At 35.1% G+C, this 18,044-nt stretch overlaps 1 protein-coding gene across 15 annotated transcripts in view; it reads left to right on the forward strand.

Moving 5' to 3' along the window:
* PCDH11X (protocadherin 11 X-linked) overlaps positions 1–18,044 on the forward strand; it is an 843,856-nt gene that overhangs the window by 85,280 nt on the left and 740,532 nt on the right. For all 15 annotated transcript variants that reach the window (XM_011530911.3, NM_032968.5, XM_011530910.1 and 12 more), the window contains one exon: positions 12,127–14,619. In XM_011530911.3, coding sequence (XP_011529213.1) covers positions 12,127–14,619 — 2,493 coding nt within the window. The remainder of the gene's footprint in view (positions 1–12,126; positions 14,620–18,044) is intronic.

The raw sequence follows: 18,044 nt of genomic DNA on the forward strand, positions 1-18,044 counted from the left end.
GAGGCTACTAATATTTCTTAGATCCTGTGGGCATGCTTCGTTGTTTTTTATTCTTTGTTCTTTTGTCTCCTCTGTGTATTTTCAAATACCCTGTCTTCAAGCTCACTAACTTTTTCTTTTGCTAGATTCATTCTGCCATTAAAAGACTCTGACACATTCTTCAGTATATCTATTGCATTATTTAACTTCAGAATTTCTGCTTCATTATTTTTAGTTATTTCAATCTCTTTGTTAAATTTCTCTGATAGAATTTTGAATTCCTTCTCCACATTATCTTGAATTTCTTTGAGTTTCTTCAACACAGCTATTTTGAACTCTGTTTGAAAGGTTGCATATCTCTGTTTATCTAGGCTTTGTCCTGGGTGACTTATTTAGTTCATTTGGTGCGATCACGTTTTCCTGGATGGTGTTAGTGCTAATAGATGTTCTTCAGTGTTTAGGCATTGAAGAGTTAGGTATTTATTGTACTCTTCACTGTCTGGAATTATTTATACCCATCCTTTTTGGGAATGCTTTCCAGGTATTTGAAAGGGCTTTGGTATTGTGATCTAAGCTGTATGTGCTTTAGGGTACACTCCAAGCCCACTAACACTGTGGTTCTTGCAAACTCACAGAGGCACCACCTCAATGGTTTGGACAAGATCCAAGGGAATTCTCTGTATTACCAGGCAGAGACTGTTGTTCTGTTCCCTTATTTTTCTCAAGCAGAGTCCCTCTCTGTTCTGAGCCACCTAAGGTTGGGGATATGGTAACACAAGCACCACTGTGGCTTTCACCACTATGACTGCACCTGGTCAGACCTAAAGCCAGCTCAGCACTGGGTCTCACCCAAGTTCAAGCTCAGCACTGGGTCTCACCCTTGTTCAAGGACCTGTGGCTCTACAGTCAGCCAGTGGCAAAGCCAGCCAGGTCTATGTCTTTCATTTCAGGGTAACAAGGTCTCTCTGGGACCAGGTGGGTACAGAGGTGCCATCTGGAAGTGAGGGACTACAGTCAAAAACCTTAGAAGTCTCCCTGCTGTTCTATTGTACCGCGACTGAGTTGGCACTCAAACCACAACATGCAATCCTTCCCTTGCTTCCCTGTACTTTCCAAAGGCAGAGAAGCCTCATCCTGTAGCCACTGCCACCCCAGGCCACAAGGAGTCCTGCCAAACTACTGCTGATATTCCCTTAAGACCCAAAGGCTCTTAAGTCAGCTTGTGGTGATTGCTGCCTGGCATGGGACTCACCCTTCAGGGTAATGGGCTCCCCTCTGTTCCAGCACAGGTCCAGAAATGCTACCCAAGGGTCGTGTCCTGGAATTGAGGACCCCAAAAGCCCACTTGGTGCTCTGCTCCCCTGTTGCCATGCTGGTACCTGAAGCCAGCTGTCTAGAAATGTCATCTGGGAGCTAGGGCCTGGAATGGGGGCCTCATGACTCTATCCAGTGCCTTATCCTGCTGTGGCTGAGCTGGTATCCGGGATGTAAAAGAGAGACCTCCTCACTCTTACCTCTCCTTTCCCTAAGTAGAAGAAAGGTGTCTCTTTTGGAGCCATGAACTGTGCAGCCTTGGGTTAGGGGACAGGGGATGCTTCCCCAGCTGATGTCTCAGTATGCTGCATGCCACCCTAGTCCACTGTCCTATGCCCAGTTCTGCCTTAGGCCTTGCCTAAGAGTTGTAGTCCTTATGGTCTAGGCTGCCTTTTAAGTTTACTTAGAGACCTAGAGCACTTTGGCCCTTGGTGGCAAGGTTTGTGAGAATTCAAATTTGGACCACTGGGATCAGTGGTTCCCCACCAGATAGGGCTGGTTTAAATGCTCCCTCTGTGGGCGATTGTCAGCTGCGTTTGGTCTGGTATTTCTTTCTGCTCTAACAGAACAGCACTGAGTTCAATGGCTCACAATTGCTGTATTCTTCCTCCCCCAGTGCCCAGAGAAGCTCTCTGTACCATGAGGCCACTGCAGCAGTTGGGGGAGGAGAAGTGGCTTCGGTGATTCAACTTTTTTTTTTTCTTTTAATCTCTTCAGTGCCTCTTTTGGGGTATGAGGTTCAAACTAAGTACTATGAGTGCTCACCTGATTTTTTCATTCCTATGAAGGTGTTTTTTCTTTGTAGATAGATGTTAAATTTGTGTCCTTGTGGGGAGGATGATCAATGGAAGCTTCTATTCTGCCATCTTGCTCTGTCTTTCATTATAGTATTTTTTTTCTTTTAGTATTGTGGCATATGAAAAAATATTTCTGACCAACCACCCATAATCATTTTTATCTAAACTGCTATCAGTCATTAAAAATGTCTGTGTTTCATTGAGCAAAACTGGGACCAGTGTCTTTAAGCTTGTCACTTGCTGGGTCTGTAAAGAATTGGTTAGTTGGATATTAATGGAAATTTTAGTTATTCGAATGACTTACATAGTTGCTGAATATTGTGCCATAAAATACTGGTTCTGACTTTCAATACATCATTTTAATTAATTTTGGTGTAATTTCATACATGTTATTAATCTCTGGATGGAGGTTAGAGATTATATTGTATTGATGCCCTGATTAAAGTGTGTTATATTCACTGCACTTGAAGAAAAAAATCACTAGTAGTACAAAAATATCATTGTTTCTCTTAATTCAACTTGATCCCAAACATAACTTAAATCACTCCTAGCTTCGTTGCTATGGGGCATAGTATCTTAACTAGAAATATTAAATACTTCTAGTAAATTTGAGTAGGTAAAGACTCCCTAAATATATAAACAGTAGTTATGCTTACAGAAAATTGGTGGCATTTTTCCTATCAATGAGTTGTTTTAAGATGAGTCAGAGCTAATGAAGAGTCAGAAATCATCTCAGAAGACATGGTACTTTCTTCTAAAACAAAAACAGAAACTATTAGGACAAATGGCAATGAATTCTGCCTCCCCCTAAATTAAAGCAGGAAAGTATGAGTCAGAGGTAAGGCCCTTTTAACATCTCCAGATATATCCCATGGTGTCAGGCCAACTGGATAGACCTTATAAATGGACTTACCTGAAGCTTTCTTTAGCCCCTCTGTGCATGGCCTCGTATTTTCTGCCCTAAACTTTTCTCTTTTTACTTCAGTTATCACTTATCCCGGATACATATCACGACTATCCCATACTCCCCATTCCTTGACTAGTCTTACCTCCAACAAAGAAGAATATGCACTTTAGTTAAAATCCAGATTTATAAAAAAAGACACGTCTATGATTCCCAGTCCTTTGCCTCCACTGGGAAAAAATTTTTTGATCTGTTTGAAATGTTCAAGGGAAAAAAGACCCAAGTTTGCTGCCTCTCCCATGCCATCCTTCAGCTTCACAGCCCTGCCTGTGGAGGTTTGATTCTACTTGGGCTACATCCTACTTCTCAAAAACCAGGTCACTGAGAAATCTGGGACTTTCATTCATATATGTGTCCAATGTTTTAGTGACCAAAAATAACAACAACAAAAAATCTACCACAAGATTCTGTCATTCACCCACTATAGCATTAATGACTTCCAATTATTCACCAAGGACTTGATTAGAATGAGCCATCTCTGACTAGTTACTGCCAATTTGAAAGTATTTACATTAAAGAGCAAAAGATACGAACTATTCTTACAATGCTTACCCATTTCCAAAAGAATGTGATCCACAGACAAATTTGTCATTTACCAAACTTCTCTCACCAAAATTTGCCACCATCTTTATTATGACGTCCATTTAATCAATAGTCAGAGGCCATGGGACACAGAAGAAATGGCCTTCTCATGTGATAGAGAAACTGAAATCTTCTTTTGGAGAAAAGGAGATTTCTGGACTTTGATGATAGTAGATCCAAAAGAAACTGGTTGAGGTCTTTTATCAATTTAGAAGGTAGAACCAATCAGAGTTAGAAGCACTCAAGAAGCCCTGAGACTTAAAAGATAAAACACCTTCATATGATCTTAAATTTTTAGCACTATTTTCCCTTCTTGAAGTTGTATTATTACTGACTTCCTTTACCTGAGGTTTTCTCTGACATACAATGAACCAGAAGCAACTTTAGTTTTATTTTCCTGATATTAATAAGCAATCAGTTAGGTTTACAGCAGTGTCTATTAGTGAAAGATCATATTTTCATTTTTGATTACTGATTTTTTTAAAGTTTAACCTAATCACAAGTTTTCATTAAAATTTACCATTAGATCATTACCCTGCTTCTTTAAAACAATAGTTCAGATAAAGTACACCTGCAACATAAAAAGCTTTTGGACTTTTCTTAGAATGTTCTTAAAGGACCTTTTTACAAGAAATTTTTAAGAAAATCTTCTAAGAAATGTAAAATACTTTATACCAGCTATTGAAGAATAGTAACGGTGAATTTTGTTTTGAGAACCTGACTCAATTTATACATAGAAATAATAGCACTCAATATTTATTCATATTCTTAAATGAGCAAGTTAAAATTGTATTTAATTATATACTCTTAAAATTTTAGATGGTATTTCTTTGGTTTCTTTTTTCAATAAACATTACTTTTAGGGGTGGTAGTTTTGAAGGGAGCAGGGAAGAAATCTTTTTATCAGTAGCTCAATATTCTGGGATCAGAAAACACAATAGTTTTTGTTTTGTTTTTGCTCTTTTTGGGCAGTAATTACCTGATAAGTTTCTCATACTGAGAGCTCTCCAGAATACAGAGTTCTTGCCAGCATCAAAAGGACTTCCTTTTGAGAAGTAACCATATTTCAGTGAAAAAATCATTGAACTAAAAACTAAGAGACTTGGCTTTCAAATCGGGTTCTGCAATAAACCAGCTGTGTGATCACGGGCAAGTCACCTAACCTTACTGTGTCTTAGTGTCCTTTTCATAAGAGGAGAAGTAAGGCTAGATGATATCTGAAGTCTGTTCTAGTACTAGTATTCAGTGGTTGAATATACTATATTTTTGTTATGAATGCAGCTCATCTAACTTAAGCACAAGAGAGCAGCTGCTAAAAAGAGCTGATTAGCAACAATTAGGAGTGGCATTTCATTTGTATTGCATATCTTCCCAATTAAAAGCATTTAGTGATTAAAATTACATGCTTGAAATACAGTCTTTAAAAGGAAATATTTTCAAATAAATGAAATCTCTGGGTCAAGGCCAATTTGTATTTTAAACATTTGCATAATATTAAAGAGTTTTGCTGTAGTATAAGGCATGCTTAGCCATTGCAGTTTTTAGAATCTGAAGCGAGACAGAGATAGAGTCAAAGAGCGAGATAGAGAATGCAAGTGCACGTGTGAGCACAAGCAAATGAAACAAGTAAAAAAGAGAATTCTGAATTATTATGCATGCTAGTAAAAAATGATTGGTTCCTCCTAGGATGTTTACAGAATTAATCAGATTATGTCTTGTGTTTCATTTCTATACTTCACATTAAGTCATATGTTTAAGATTTTCCTTTATTTCTGAAAGCCAAAAGCTGACTTTTCAAAATCAAGGGAAGAATAGACTAAAAAAAATGGACCTGAAAAATAGATGTGCTTCACTGTTCTCGTGGATATAACAACCCTGATGTCTTCAATTAAATCTCCTTTGTTCCAGCTTAAAACATTGTGAATTTAAATTAACACTTTAAGACATTTCAATCTGAGTGCACATTCCAAATAACGTAATAAAATCATCTGATTGTTCTCTCAGATGGAGAAACCAGAGTAGTGATAGTGAACACAAGGCCAGAAAAAATGAAATGGTATTTATTATATATTTTCTTATAAAAACAAAGTTGGGGGAAGTACACATTAAAACAGAACTTAGTACAAAAATTCTATCATTTTCAAGAATCTTCCTGAGTGCCTACTCTTTTGTCAAAAGGGAAAAACAAAGACTGTTCTTAATTTTGAAATCTGACACAATAGGGAAAAAAAAATCAATGACAGAAATTCCTATTCTTTGGACTAACATTTAAAAAAAAGAACCACATGCTATGAATAGTACTGTTCTACAAAATAGGTTTTGCTAAGTCCTAGTGGGAAAAAAAATACATGTATAATATCTTAAACCTTGTATGTGGCTTTATCAAAATTAACAATACTATTATTAATATTTTAATGTAAACTTATTTCTTCCTAAGAGACATAGTGTTTTCTTACCCAAAGGGAGATGGTGTTTTCTTACCCAAAGAGAGATGGTGTTTTCTTACCCAAAGAGAGATGGTGTTTTCTTACCCAAAGGGAGATGGTGTTTTCTTACCCAAAGAGAGATGGTGTTTTCTTACACATCACTCTCCTTTCCTTAGTATGACTTTAAAGTAGCGAGGGACTTGGTGACATTAGGGTTATCGGCAGATATGTGACTAACGGCTTGGGACATTTTATTGTAATCCGTTTTTTATTGTATTTCCCTTGACAAGGCTACAAATGAATTCTGAAATAAATGTTCTAGAAGTAGTGCATAGACTCTAAAAGGTACCACAGTATTGAATATATAAGCAACAGTTGCTTTTCCCCCTAATAGTTTTAGACAGCCTATAGCAAACCAAGAATTTTTAGTGGAATGAAAGTGAATTTATGATAATACTTATTATATCTGTATTGAGAATATTCAATGTGTATTAAAGTATTTCCTTAATGTTTTCTAAAACAGCCATGTTATTGTAGTGTTATCCATTTGAATCTATGTTCTTGCATTCCTGTGGCCCAAAGATGTATCAGTAATACTAAGAGAAAAGTGAAAAAAAATTAAATATCAGGTTAGTTATTGATAAATCAAGCAGTGGTGAAAGTCAGAAATAAATTTTGAGTCTTTCCACCAGCATTCCTCGATCTAAAGAGTAAATGGCTTTTAATCAGTTTTAGAACTAGATCTCTTTGGAACTATTTTTAGTACTTACTGGCACTGTATGCATTTTCTGGGCAACTGTACCAGATTTATAGCTCTAAAAGTGCTGTGTTATTTATTGCCTTCCAATAGGCAATGAAGTGGTGTCTTGCACATGCATGTGTCAAAAATGTTAAAGTTTTCTCCAGTTGTCTCGTTAATTCTTTCCCAGGACAATAGACAAAATATATGGCTCTCTATTTGGCAATGAATATCCTTTATCAATTTTTTAAAAGAAAAAAAAAACTTCTCTTGCAAATTTCACATCCAACGTCAACTTTCTCTTTTTTGATTTTACAAATCTCCACAAAGAATTAAAGTCTCAGAAGGGCTTTATCTTGCTTATTTCAGCAGTTTTTGTCTTGGGTTTGCAATCCTAAAGTTTATTTTTGAATTTAGGAAGAAATATCACTCACAAATGAAGGTTATTAGGATGAGGTTATTAGAAAGTCCATGCATTTTTCATGACCTCAACCTGAATTGGCACTTTTGTATACTAGAGATCAATGCCATTTCAGATATCAGAATCCAAAAATCAACATATCATGTGTAAATTATTCTTGCATGCAGTTCTTATATATTATTTTCTTCCCTGATTTTTGTTTTCTTTGTTGATCACACGTATCCATGTTTGACAGATGTAGGGTTTTGCATCTTTTCAATAATGCACTGGCTACATACCACACTTAGTATTTGTCATAATTTATTCTGAAAATCAAGTTTTACAACTAGGTTGTAAAATTTTACTAGCAATTGACACTTTGGCTTTTATTACATTTTTGAACAGAAAAGAAGTAGTTGTTTCAGGAAATAATTTTGAAATTGTTTTCTGGACAGTTTTATTAAAATAAAAGACAAAAAAAAAAACCCAAGTCAACAATTATAGAGTATTCCTGTGCCTATACAGACTGAGAATTAAGAACAACCAAATTCTGCTCTTCTTTTATCTTTTAAAATAAGAGCCACTACTTTAATTCATGCATTTATTTATCTAACAAATGTTTTCTGAATGTGTTCACATATGCCAGGTGCTATATCTTTAGAGATTATACATTTAAACAAAGCTTCATGCCATATTACCCTACACTCACATTATTTAGTATATGAAGGCGTACCTAGAGATATACACATAGAGAGTTTGCCCCTATACACAGAAATAAATAATTTTAAGTGGATTTGGAATTCAGGGTAGTGCAGGTCAATTCTTCCAAACTTTTAACTTTTTTGTATATAAGGATGTGTCGGTGCTGAAGATAGGGAGATGATGAATTAAGGAGCCATACGTTTTATCTTCTTTTTCATTTTTCTCACTGTCCTCCTGTCATGGTCAAACATATGGCAAAAGGCTTCAGTTTTTTAATTGCTCATGTGGATGTGAGCTCAGTTGAACTAACTACATTTGGGGTAGGACTGATGTTGGATTCATGTGTTAGTTATTCTTTATTCCTGAAGGAGATTGAACAGAAAACAGTCTTGGAATCATCATTCAGTAATAATAGTAAGCTCATGTTGGCACTATACTTTGACGTCAACTTAGATATCTCACCAAAATTTTGTTGAAAATTATTTATGTCTTAACCTGTGGGCAACTCCTGTTCAAATCCCGTGGACAATATTAAGTTTAAATATGTTTGCTCAGCAAGTCTTTGTAGAACTCTAAAAATCTGGAAAAATGGGGGTTATGCATGCAATCACCTGGCTAATCATAGATTCTTTTTAAAGAAAAACATGATGTCTTAGGATAGTACAGTTCAATAGAATTTGTGCAATAATGAAAATGTTCTACATCTGCAGTGTCCAACGTAGTAGCTACTGGCCACATGGAGCTGTTGAGAACTTAAAATATGGGTAGTGCAAGTAGGAACTGATGTTTTAAATTAATCTAATTCATTTAATTTAAATCTAAATTTAAATGCTCCTTTGGGGCTAATTACCATCATATTGAACAGAGTAGTTGTGAAAGACAGAATAGCAATGGTGACATTATCCATTAACTAATATGTACATTTCATTATCACCTTGAGAATTAGAAAAATATATTTTTAAGATTATTGCCATTTCACATAAAGTAATTAAAAGACAGTGAGTATGCTGATCTTGGATTTTTCATCTGACACAAGCTTGCCTTAATTTGCTTTGGAAAGCAAAGGCCAACTCAAAATTCAGACAAACACATAAAAGTAAAAACTAAATATATAAACAAGAAATGCACAAACATAAATACATAAATTTTAAAATTAAAACTTACATATTCGTTTTCCCAGATGTATTGTATTCATAAATTGGATAATTGGCTCCGAAACTTAAGAACTTTGGAACATTTTCCTTGTTCTTTTTATATTATATTATCTTTGTTTCTGTTTATGCAACCTCTAATAATAACTTACAATTTCCCCATATAGCTCTTATTAAAAATGTAGTGATTCTCTTAATGTAAATCCGTTAGTGTCAATACCATCATTAAATCCATAGTTATTGATTTTTCTTTCACCTTAACTAGAACTTACCTTTTATCACATTAGTAAAATATGTTTACTCACCACCATGACCTTGGCATCTAGGAGAATGCTCTCACTATATTAGCCACTCAGTATTGGAATGTCAAGGATTAAAAGAATAGTATTAAGTGCCATGGATTTTATGAAGTACAATTTAGAAACTATTTTTTCTACCCATAAATAGACATTTTGGATTTGAACCTTCCTAAAAACCTCTTGGAATATCATTACAAAAATTAAATTATCATTAATCACTAAATTTGTTTAGATCAAATTATAATAGTATGTTATGGTATTTACTTACATTCAATGTTGTCATGAAATTCTATTTTTTCTTAAAATATGCAGTATATCAAATAATAGATTTTGCTTGCTAATTTTCAAATATAAATACGTATAACATGAAAATGTTTTTCTTACTATATAATCAAGGAAAAGCCAGGTTGATTATTGCTCTGAGTAAAATAGGAATAGAATGCTCACGTTTATTGTATGAATTAAAAACAAAATAACTAATATACTTTGGTTAGCTCTTGTGAAATTTTTTTTTAAATAACGTTGGAACAAACTAATGATTTTAATTAATATTTCTGAAATGCCATCTTAAATTTTGTAATAAACATCTAATTCCTCCACAAAGATATATTATGGCACTGCATTTGAATAAAAGTATAAGTGAATCTCAGCACCCCCCCAAAATCTGAAAGTTTGCAGAAATATCTTCAAGTAATTCATAAGAGGAAAAAATGAGATGCATTTGGATATTGTTTAAGACTATATATAGGCAATTATAAGACAGGTAAATTTTTTAAAGATAATGTGATTGAAATACATTTATAAACTGATCATATATTCTAGCAGTCTCTGAAAACCTGGTATTATTTATTAGGTTCTAATTTTTAGGATCTTGTTTTAGACAGTGGTATGACAAAACTATAACCTCAGATCTTATCCTGTTCTTTTATGATACAGCACATAAATGAGAGATCAATAACCAATCCATGCCACTTGTCCAGAACATGTATGTTAAAAATGTAGTAGAGAATTAAAAATTATTTAGATGTACATATGTGTATGTGTGTGTGTGTGTATATATCTGTTCATAAATCACCCATGAATAGGAATCTTAAAGTCCTCCTCCGATCTTTTCTTCATACCCTCCAGTACCTTTTTATCTCATTCATCTCTGTCATAATGCTGCAAGTAACACTGGACAGGAATCTTCCTCTCTCATTTCTCCTCGGTAAGCTGGCAAGATCACTACGTTTGTGTGTAGGGATCATCTTATTGTAGTACAGGGAGGGGATTTTTTTTTTTTTTTTTTTTTTTTGAGACGAGTCTCACTCTGTCGCCCAGGCTGGAGTGCAGTGGCGCCATCTCGGCTCACTGCAAGCTCCGCCTCTGGGGTTCATGCCATTCTCCTGCCTCAGCCTCCTGAGCAGCTGGGACCACAGGCGCCCGCCACCACGCCAGGCTAATTTTTTTTTTTTTGTATTTTTTAAGTAGAGACGGGGTTTCCCCGTGTTAGCCAGGATGGTCTCGATCTCCTGACCTCGTGATCCGCCCGCCTCGGCCTCCCAAAGTGCTGGAATTACAGGCGTGAGCCACCGCTCCCGGCCGAGGGGATTGTTTTTTAAATATTCCCATACTGTGACTTCGTGGGCATGAATTGAAAATAGGTCCTATCCGAAGCTACCTTTTTCAATTTGAGGTCTTGACCTGTGAATTTTAGTTCATTGTGCTTGCATGTTAAAAAAAAAACAGTAAGAAAATAACATTGCATTGTTAATCTCTGAGATAATTTCATTTTAACTGTGTGTTCCTATGGGAAATATTGAAATTCTTTGTATTTTATACAAATTTATATTTTAACCAGTTTGTGTATTTTTTTTCCATCTGCTAAAGGTTTTAGCTGTATTTATTAGATATGATACTTATGATGTTGTCTTGGAGGAATATTTTTATTTTGGTGCTTACTTTAGTACTGAAAAAGCATCTTAGGCAACTGAAATCTACAGTAAAAAATATTTTAATTCATTTGGAATAATCTTGGATAATTCGCTTACAGCTTCATTTATCTTGCAAAAATTTAGTGACAATTCTTTTTAAAATATACTTTTTTCTTTTGAAAACTTAAATAGTTCGAAAACCAAACATTGTGTGTTCTCACTGATATATGGGTGCTAAGTTATGAGGACGCAAAGGCATAAGAATGATACGATGGACATTGGGGACTTCGGGGAAAGAGAAGGAAGGTGGCGAGGGATAAAAAACTACAAATATGGTGGTGTGTATATTGCTCCAGTGATGGGTGCACCAAAATCTCACAAATCACCACTAAAGAATTTACTCATGTAACCAAATACCACCTGAACCCCAATAACTTATGGAAAAATGAAATAAAAAATTAATTAATTTAAAAAAACTGAAATAGTTCACATAATTTAAAAAAACTTAAATAGCTCACATAAATGAGTTACATATATTACCATAAAATGCTACAATCTGAAGCCTCCTGTCCCCAGAACATCTTCTAGTACAGTTCTCTAATTTTACAAATATCAAGAAAAGTAAAGTAACTTGTTTGTAATCACGATATTTGTTATAGGCAGAGTTGAGACTTAGAACTGAAGTCTTCTGGCACCTATTTCTGAACTGATCCCATTATTTTATGTGGCTTCAAGAAACTGAAAATTGTTCTCATTAGATAAGCTAACATAAGTTAAATTATATTTTATTATTCATATTAATATTAATATATTAATTTATATTAACATAAGTTAATTCTGTTTCATTGCATGTTTTCCAGAGTCAAAACATTTTTGGCCTCGATGTCATTGAAACACCAGAAGGAGACAAGATGCCACAACTGATTGTTCAAAAGGAGTTAGATAGGGAAGAGAAGGATACCTACGTGATGAAAGTAAAGGTTGAAGATGGTGGCTTTCCTCAAAGATCCAGTACTGCTATTTTGCAAGTGAGTGTTACTGATACAAATGACAACCACCCAGTCTTTAAGGAGACAGAGATTGAAGTCAGTATACCAGAAAATGCTCCTGTAGGCACTTCAGTGACACAGCTCCATGCCACAGATGCTGACATAGGTGAAAATGCCAAGATCCACTTCTCTTTCAGCAATCTAGTCTCCAACATTGCCAGGAGATTATTTCACCTCAATGCCACCACTGGACTTATCACAATCAAAGAACCACTGGATAGGGAAGAAACACCAAACCACAAGTTACTGGTTTTGGCAAGTGATGGTGGATTGATGCCAGCAAGAGCAATGGTGCTGGTAAATGTTACAGATGTCAATGATAATGTCCCATCCATTGACATAAGATACATCGTCAATCCTGTCAATGACACAGTTGTTCTTTCAGAAAATATTCCACTCAACACCAAAATTGCTCTCATAACTGTGACGGATAAGGATGCGGACCATAATGGCAGGGTGACATGCTTCACAGATCATGAAATCCCTTTCAGATTAAGGCCAGTATTCAGTAATCAGTTCCTCCTGGAGACTGCAGCATATCTTGACTATGAGTCCACAAAAGAATATGCCATTAAATTACTGGCTGCAGATGCTGGCAAACCTCCTTTGAATCAGTCAGCAATGCTCTTCATCAAAGTGAAAGATGAAAATGACAATGCTCCAGTTTTCACCCAGTCTTTCGTAACTGTTTCTATTCCTGAGAATAACTCTCCTGGCATCCAGTTGACGAAAGTAAGTGCAATGGATGCAGACAGTGGGCCTAATGCTAAGATCAATTACCTGCTAGGCCCTGATGCTCCACCTGAATTCAGCCTGGATTGTCGTACAGGCATGCTGACTGTAGTGAAGAAACTAGATAGAGAAAAAGAGGATAAATATTTATTCACAATTCTGGCAAAAGATAACGGGGTACCACCCTTAACCAGCAATGTCACAGTCTTTGTAAGCATTATTGATCAGAATGACAATAGCCCAGTTTTCACTCACAATGAATACAACTTCTATGTCCCAGAAAACCTTCCAAGGCATGGTACAGTAGGACTAATCACTGTAACTGATCCTGATTATGGAGACAATTCTGCAGTTACGCTCTCCATTTTAGATGAGAATGATGACTTCACCATTGATTCACAAACTGGTGTCATCCGACCAAATATTTCATTTGATAGAGAAAAACAAGAATCTTACACTTTCTATGTAAAGGCTGAGGATGGTGGTAGAGTATCACGTTCTTCAAGTGCCAAAGTAACCATAAATGTGGTTGATGTCAATGACAACAAACCAGTTTTCATTGTCCCTCCTTCCAACTGTTCTTATGAATTGGTTCTACCGTCCACTAATCCAGGCACAGTGGTCTTTCAGGTAATTGCTGTTGACAATGACACTGGCATGAATGCAGAGGTTCGTTACAGCATTGTAGGAGGAAACACAAGAGATCTGTTTGCAATCGACCAAGAAACAGGCAACATAACATTGATGGAGAAATGTGATGTTACAGACCTTGGTTTACACAGAGTGTTGGTCAAAGCTAATGACTTAGGACAGCCTGATTCTCTCTTCAGTGTTGTAATTGTCAATCTGTTCGTGAATGAGTCGGTGACCAATGCTACACTGATTAATGAACTGGTGCGCAAAAGCACTGAAGCACCAGTGACCCCAAATACTGAGATAGCTGATGTATCCTCACCAACTAGTGACTATGTCAAGATCCTGGTTGCAGCTGTTGCTGGCACCATAACTGTCGTTGTAGTTATTTTCATCACTGCTGTAGTAAGATGTCGCCAGGCACCACACCTTAAGGCTGCTCAGAAAAACAAGCAGAATTCTGAATGGGCTACCCCAAACCCAGAAAACAGGCAGATGATAATGATGAAGAAAAAGAAAAAGAAGAAGAAGCATTCCCCTAAGAACTTGCTGCTTAATTTTGTCACTATTGAAGAAACTAAGGCAGATGATGTTGACAGTGATGGAAACAGAGTCACACTAGACCTTCCTATTGATCTAGAAGAGCAAACAATGGGAAAGTACAATTGGGTAACTACACCTACTACTTTCAAGCCCGACAGCCCTGATTTGGCCCGACACTACAAATCTGCCTCTCCACAGCCTGCCTTCCAAATTCAGCCTGAAACTCCCCTGAATTCGAAGCACCACATCATCCAAGAACTGCCTCTCGATAACACCTTTGTGGCCTGTGACTCTATCTCCAAGTGTTCCTCAAGCAGTTCAGATCCCTACAGCGTTTCTGACTGTGGCTATCCAGTGACGACCTTCGAGGTACCTGTGTCCGTACACACCAGACCGGTAGGTATCCAAGTTTCTAACACAACTTTCTAACTATTTTTTTATTATTATTTTCAGTTGATGTAGAACTTTACAAAATCTATTGACTTCAAAGAGGGATCAAAACAATCATATTCTACAGATGTACCCAATAGATATATGGATTCAATTAAGTTTGGTAGAAGATGAGAACAAAATAACTACTGATTTAGGAAAATTGGATGCAGAATAATAATTATAGTAGGGGCAATTTTGTCTGTAGATGGCAGTATGACAATTCTTGCTAGAGAATATATTGAAAAAAACTTCAACACAAAGGGTTGTAGCACTGTCCTCAGTACCATTGTGTGCATGAGGATCAGAATAGTCTGGGCTAGATACATCACATTAAAGCTTTTCAGAATCTGATAAATAGCTCTAAATACTAATGATATTGAGAAGCCTAGCTTCACTTGGGAAAATCTGTGGCTGTTCACAGAAATTCAGCACCAAGTTATTCCCCCCATACTCTACCAGGCCTTCAGGTCCTCATAAAGAAAAGTGTCGTTTTCAGATTAGGAACTCAAAATTATTTTGGTGCATCAAATCTACAGTCACACAATATAACAAGAATGGGATTAGAAAAATGAAAGCCTACTCATTCTCATCTTTAAGCCAGAGAATGAAATATATATGAGGTCTCTGGATAGCTATTTAAATATTTGCATATTTATGCAAGGTATTTTGAGCCCTTCAGAAGACATTCTTAAAAGATAATAACTTTTGGAAAATAAAATGTTTGCTTTCTCTAATAGGCACAAAGAAAACTGTGGGCATGTTAAGACCCAAGAAATCTGTGCACAATAACTTAAAACCCAATACATTTATGAAAGCAAGAGTTTATCCAGTGCCTTTTATCAGTGTTCCATGAAGAAATGAATACAAATTTATCCAGAAACTCTTAAATGTTGAATGATTTAAATATAATTGTTCCCTTTAAAAAGACAAGCAATGGAATTTACCCACATTTTTTTCTCGAAGTCATGCTACATGTTGAGTTTATTATTTTGTCTGTGTTAACTCTTAAAAAAGTATTAATCTTAGTTTCAGGGAATAAAGTCTTTTGAACACCTATTCAGGCTTAACAAAATAGTAGCAATGTGAAAATCAAAACTGATTTTCTTTCACCAAAAGTTCGAGATATTAAAGAAGGCTACTGCATTCAAGATAGCAATGCAAATAGTTTACCATAACTTTGGAAATGGGTTTAAGAATGGAGGTCATTCAAGCATAAGCGCAGTTATATAATACGATAACATTAACTTTTCTCTCTGAATCACACAATGAACGTAAGGTACTAATTCAGATGTGGGTGCATTTTTGTTACAGTAGGTACACAATTAAATGCTGTTTCAAAAGGTAAACTAGAACCCTAGTGTCTGTATAGAGAGCTTCTGTTAGACTTTAAAAGAATTTACGCTGCAGTTGTTATTTCTACAGTTTAGATGAATCCCATATTTTACATAGTTAGTGGATCTGGGATGGGCAACAAACGTTAAGAGATGTCGAACATCTCCACAGGGTGTGTTTTTGTTTATATTTAACCATTAAAAAGGGCACTCTCATTTTCAAATTCTTATTGCTATTCTGCTTATTGGATAAGTTTCTCAACATAAAAGTATCTTTTATGACTAACACTACATGATTTGGGTATAATAACATTTTTTCCTGGGTTTAATTTGTGACTTTCTTTAAGAAGTGTACAAAGAGTGGGTTTGTGAATTACATATGTAGATCATCATTTTTAATAGATTTAATGAAGTTAATTAATAAAGCAAGTTCTGGTTTCAGTGCTTTTTGAAGGCACAGAGATATTTTATGAGCTAGACTGATTTTACTTGAGTTTATGAACACATAGCAAGGAGGGCATGGATGAAGAACAAAAAACTGAAGTATTTTTCAAATATCCTCACTTTTTTGTTTTTTTAAAAATATTTTGTAATCCTAAAAAGTCATTAAAAATAATAAACCTTTTTCCATGACGCATTTTATATCATATAACTAAGAGACATTTTCTGAATCATAAGAATTAGTCAAAATACAAAAAAGTAAATGCTAATGAGAATCAGTTATTGGTTGTTATCAGGTTTTTATTAACTGAAAGGACTATCTTAGAATCATTGAATTAGCAGATGACTTATTTATTTCACAGCTTAAAAAGTAAATAAATTATATATTTTATTATTGGTTCACAGTTGTTTCATATTCATTACTAAATATCTTCAAGACATGAATTGGTGAACTTAGGCAGACTAATATGATACTAAAAATAATTTGAATCTTTACATTTTGTGCTACATTTGCAATGTTCTTTACCTTTTCTATATGCTCTTCAATTTGTGTTTAATGTTAGGGTGTTCAATGATGTTGCAGAATGCTAGCAAAATAAGTGAGCACTGAAAAAGAAATTATGTATTTAAAAATTCAAATGCAGTAGGTGTCTTCTTTTTAAAGAAATATCATACAAAATGGGAGAAGTGACAGCCAATACAATACAAATTCATTGTTCCTTAAGGAAATACTTAGAGTGGAATAAAATATTACTGTTAGCAGAAGGCAGAATTATTCCAATTTATTTTAAACAGTGAGAAATGCATTTTCAAAATGAGGGTTTGGGGAATATTTACATTTAGTTCATTACTCGTCTGAATAGAAACAGGAAAGTGGAAAATAAAATGTTCTAGTAGACTATAAGAGACAAGGGAATTCATCTGAAATTTTATGTTTTATAAAGGGAATCAAATACTTTCTAGTTCTCATAATTTCTCATTCTCCTTGATCATTCTATAGGTTGTTTTTCTGACTTGGATGTTCTGAAAATATATGGAACATTTATTAGATAGGAGTACATATATTGCATAAAGCCATCTATACCTGGGGAATATAATGGTCGTCTTTGGCATACGTTTCTACATGTATTATGGAAGGCATTTTTGTATACATTGTAGTAGAAATTTTAAAAACATGAAATTTGAGAGGATGAGGCTACACATTATCTTCTATTAACACCTTTCAAAACAAGCAGATAGCAATTGGTTGTTATGACACTAGAGAAACCATAAGTATAAATAATTATTTTAAAATCACTTTTGATCAATGTCATATAAAAGAGATAAACTGCCAAAACCAAGTCTTGCTTAATACAATTCACCCATTAAATATTGTGAAGACTATACATTTTAAAAAAATAGAGAGGAGAATAAAAATGAAAGTAGAATTTTTTGAAGGTCTTCCAGTCACTGTCTAAGACAAGTATTTGGGGTACATCATTTTCCAAAAAACAAACAAACAAACAAAAAACCTTACAAGTTTCTGTGATTTGAGTTGGAATAGTCTTTCAGTTTCAGAAATGAGGTGAATGAATGGTGAAAACTTTAGACAGTTCTAATTCATGCATGAAACCATCC

The sequence above is a fragment of the Homo sapiens genome, chromosome X, assembly GCF_000001405.40.
Source record: "Homo sapiens chromosome X, GRCh38.p14 Primary Assembly".
Lineage (NCBI taxonomy): Eukaryota > Metazoa > Chordata > Mammalia > Primates > Hominidae > Homo > Homo sapiens.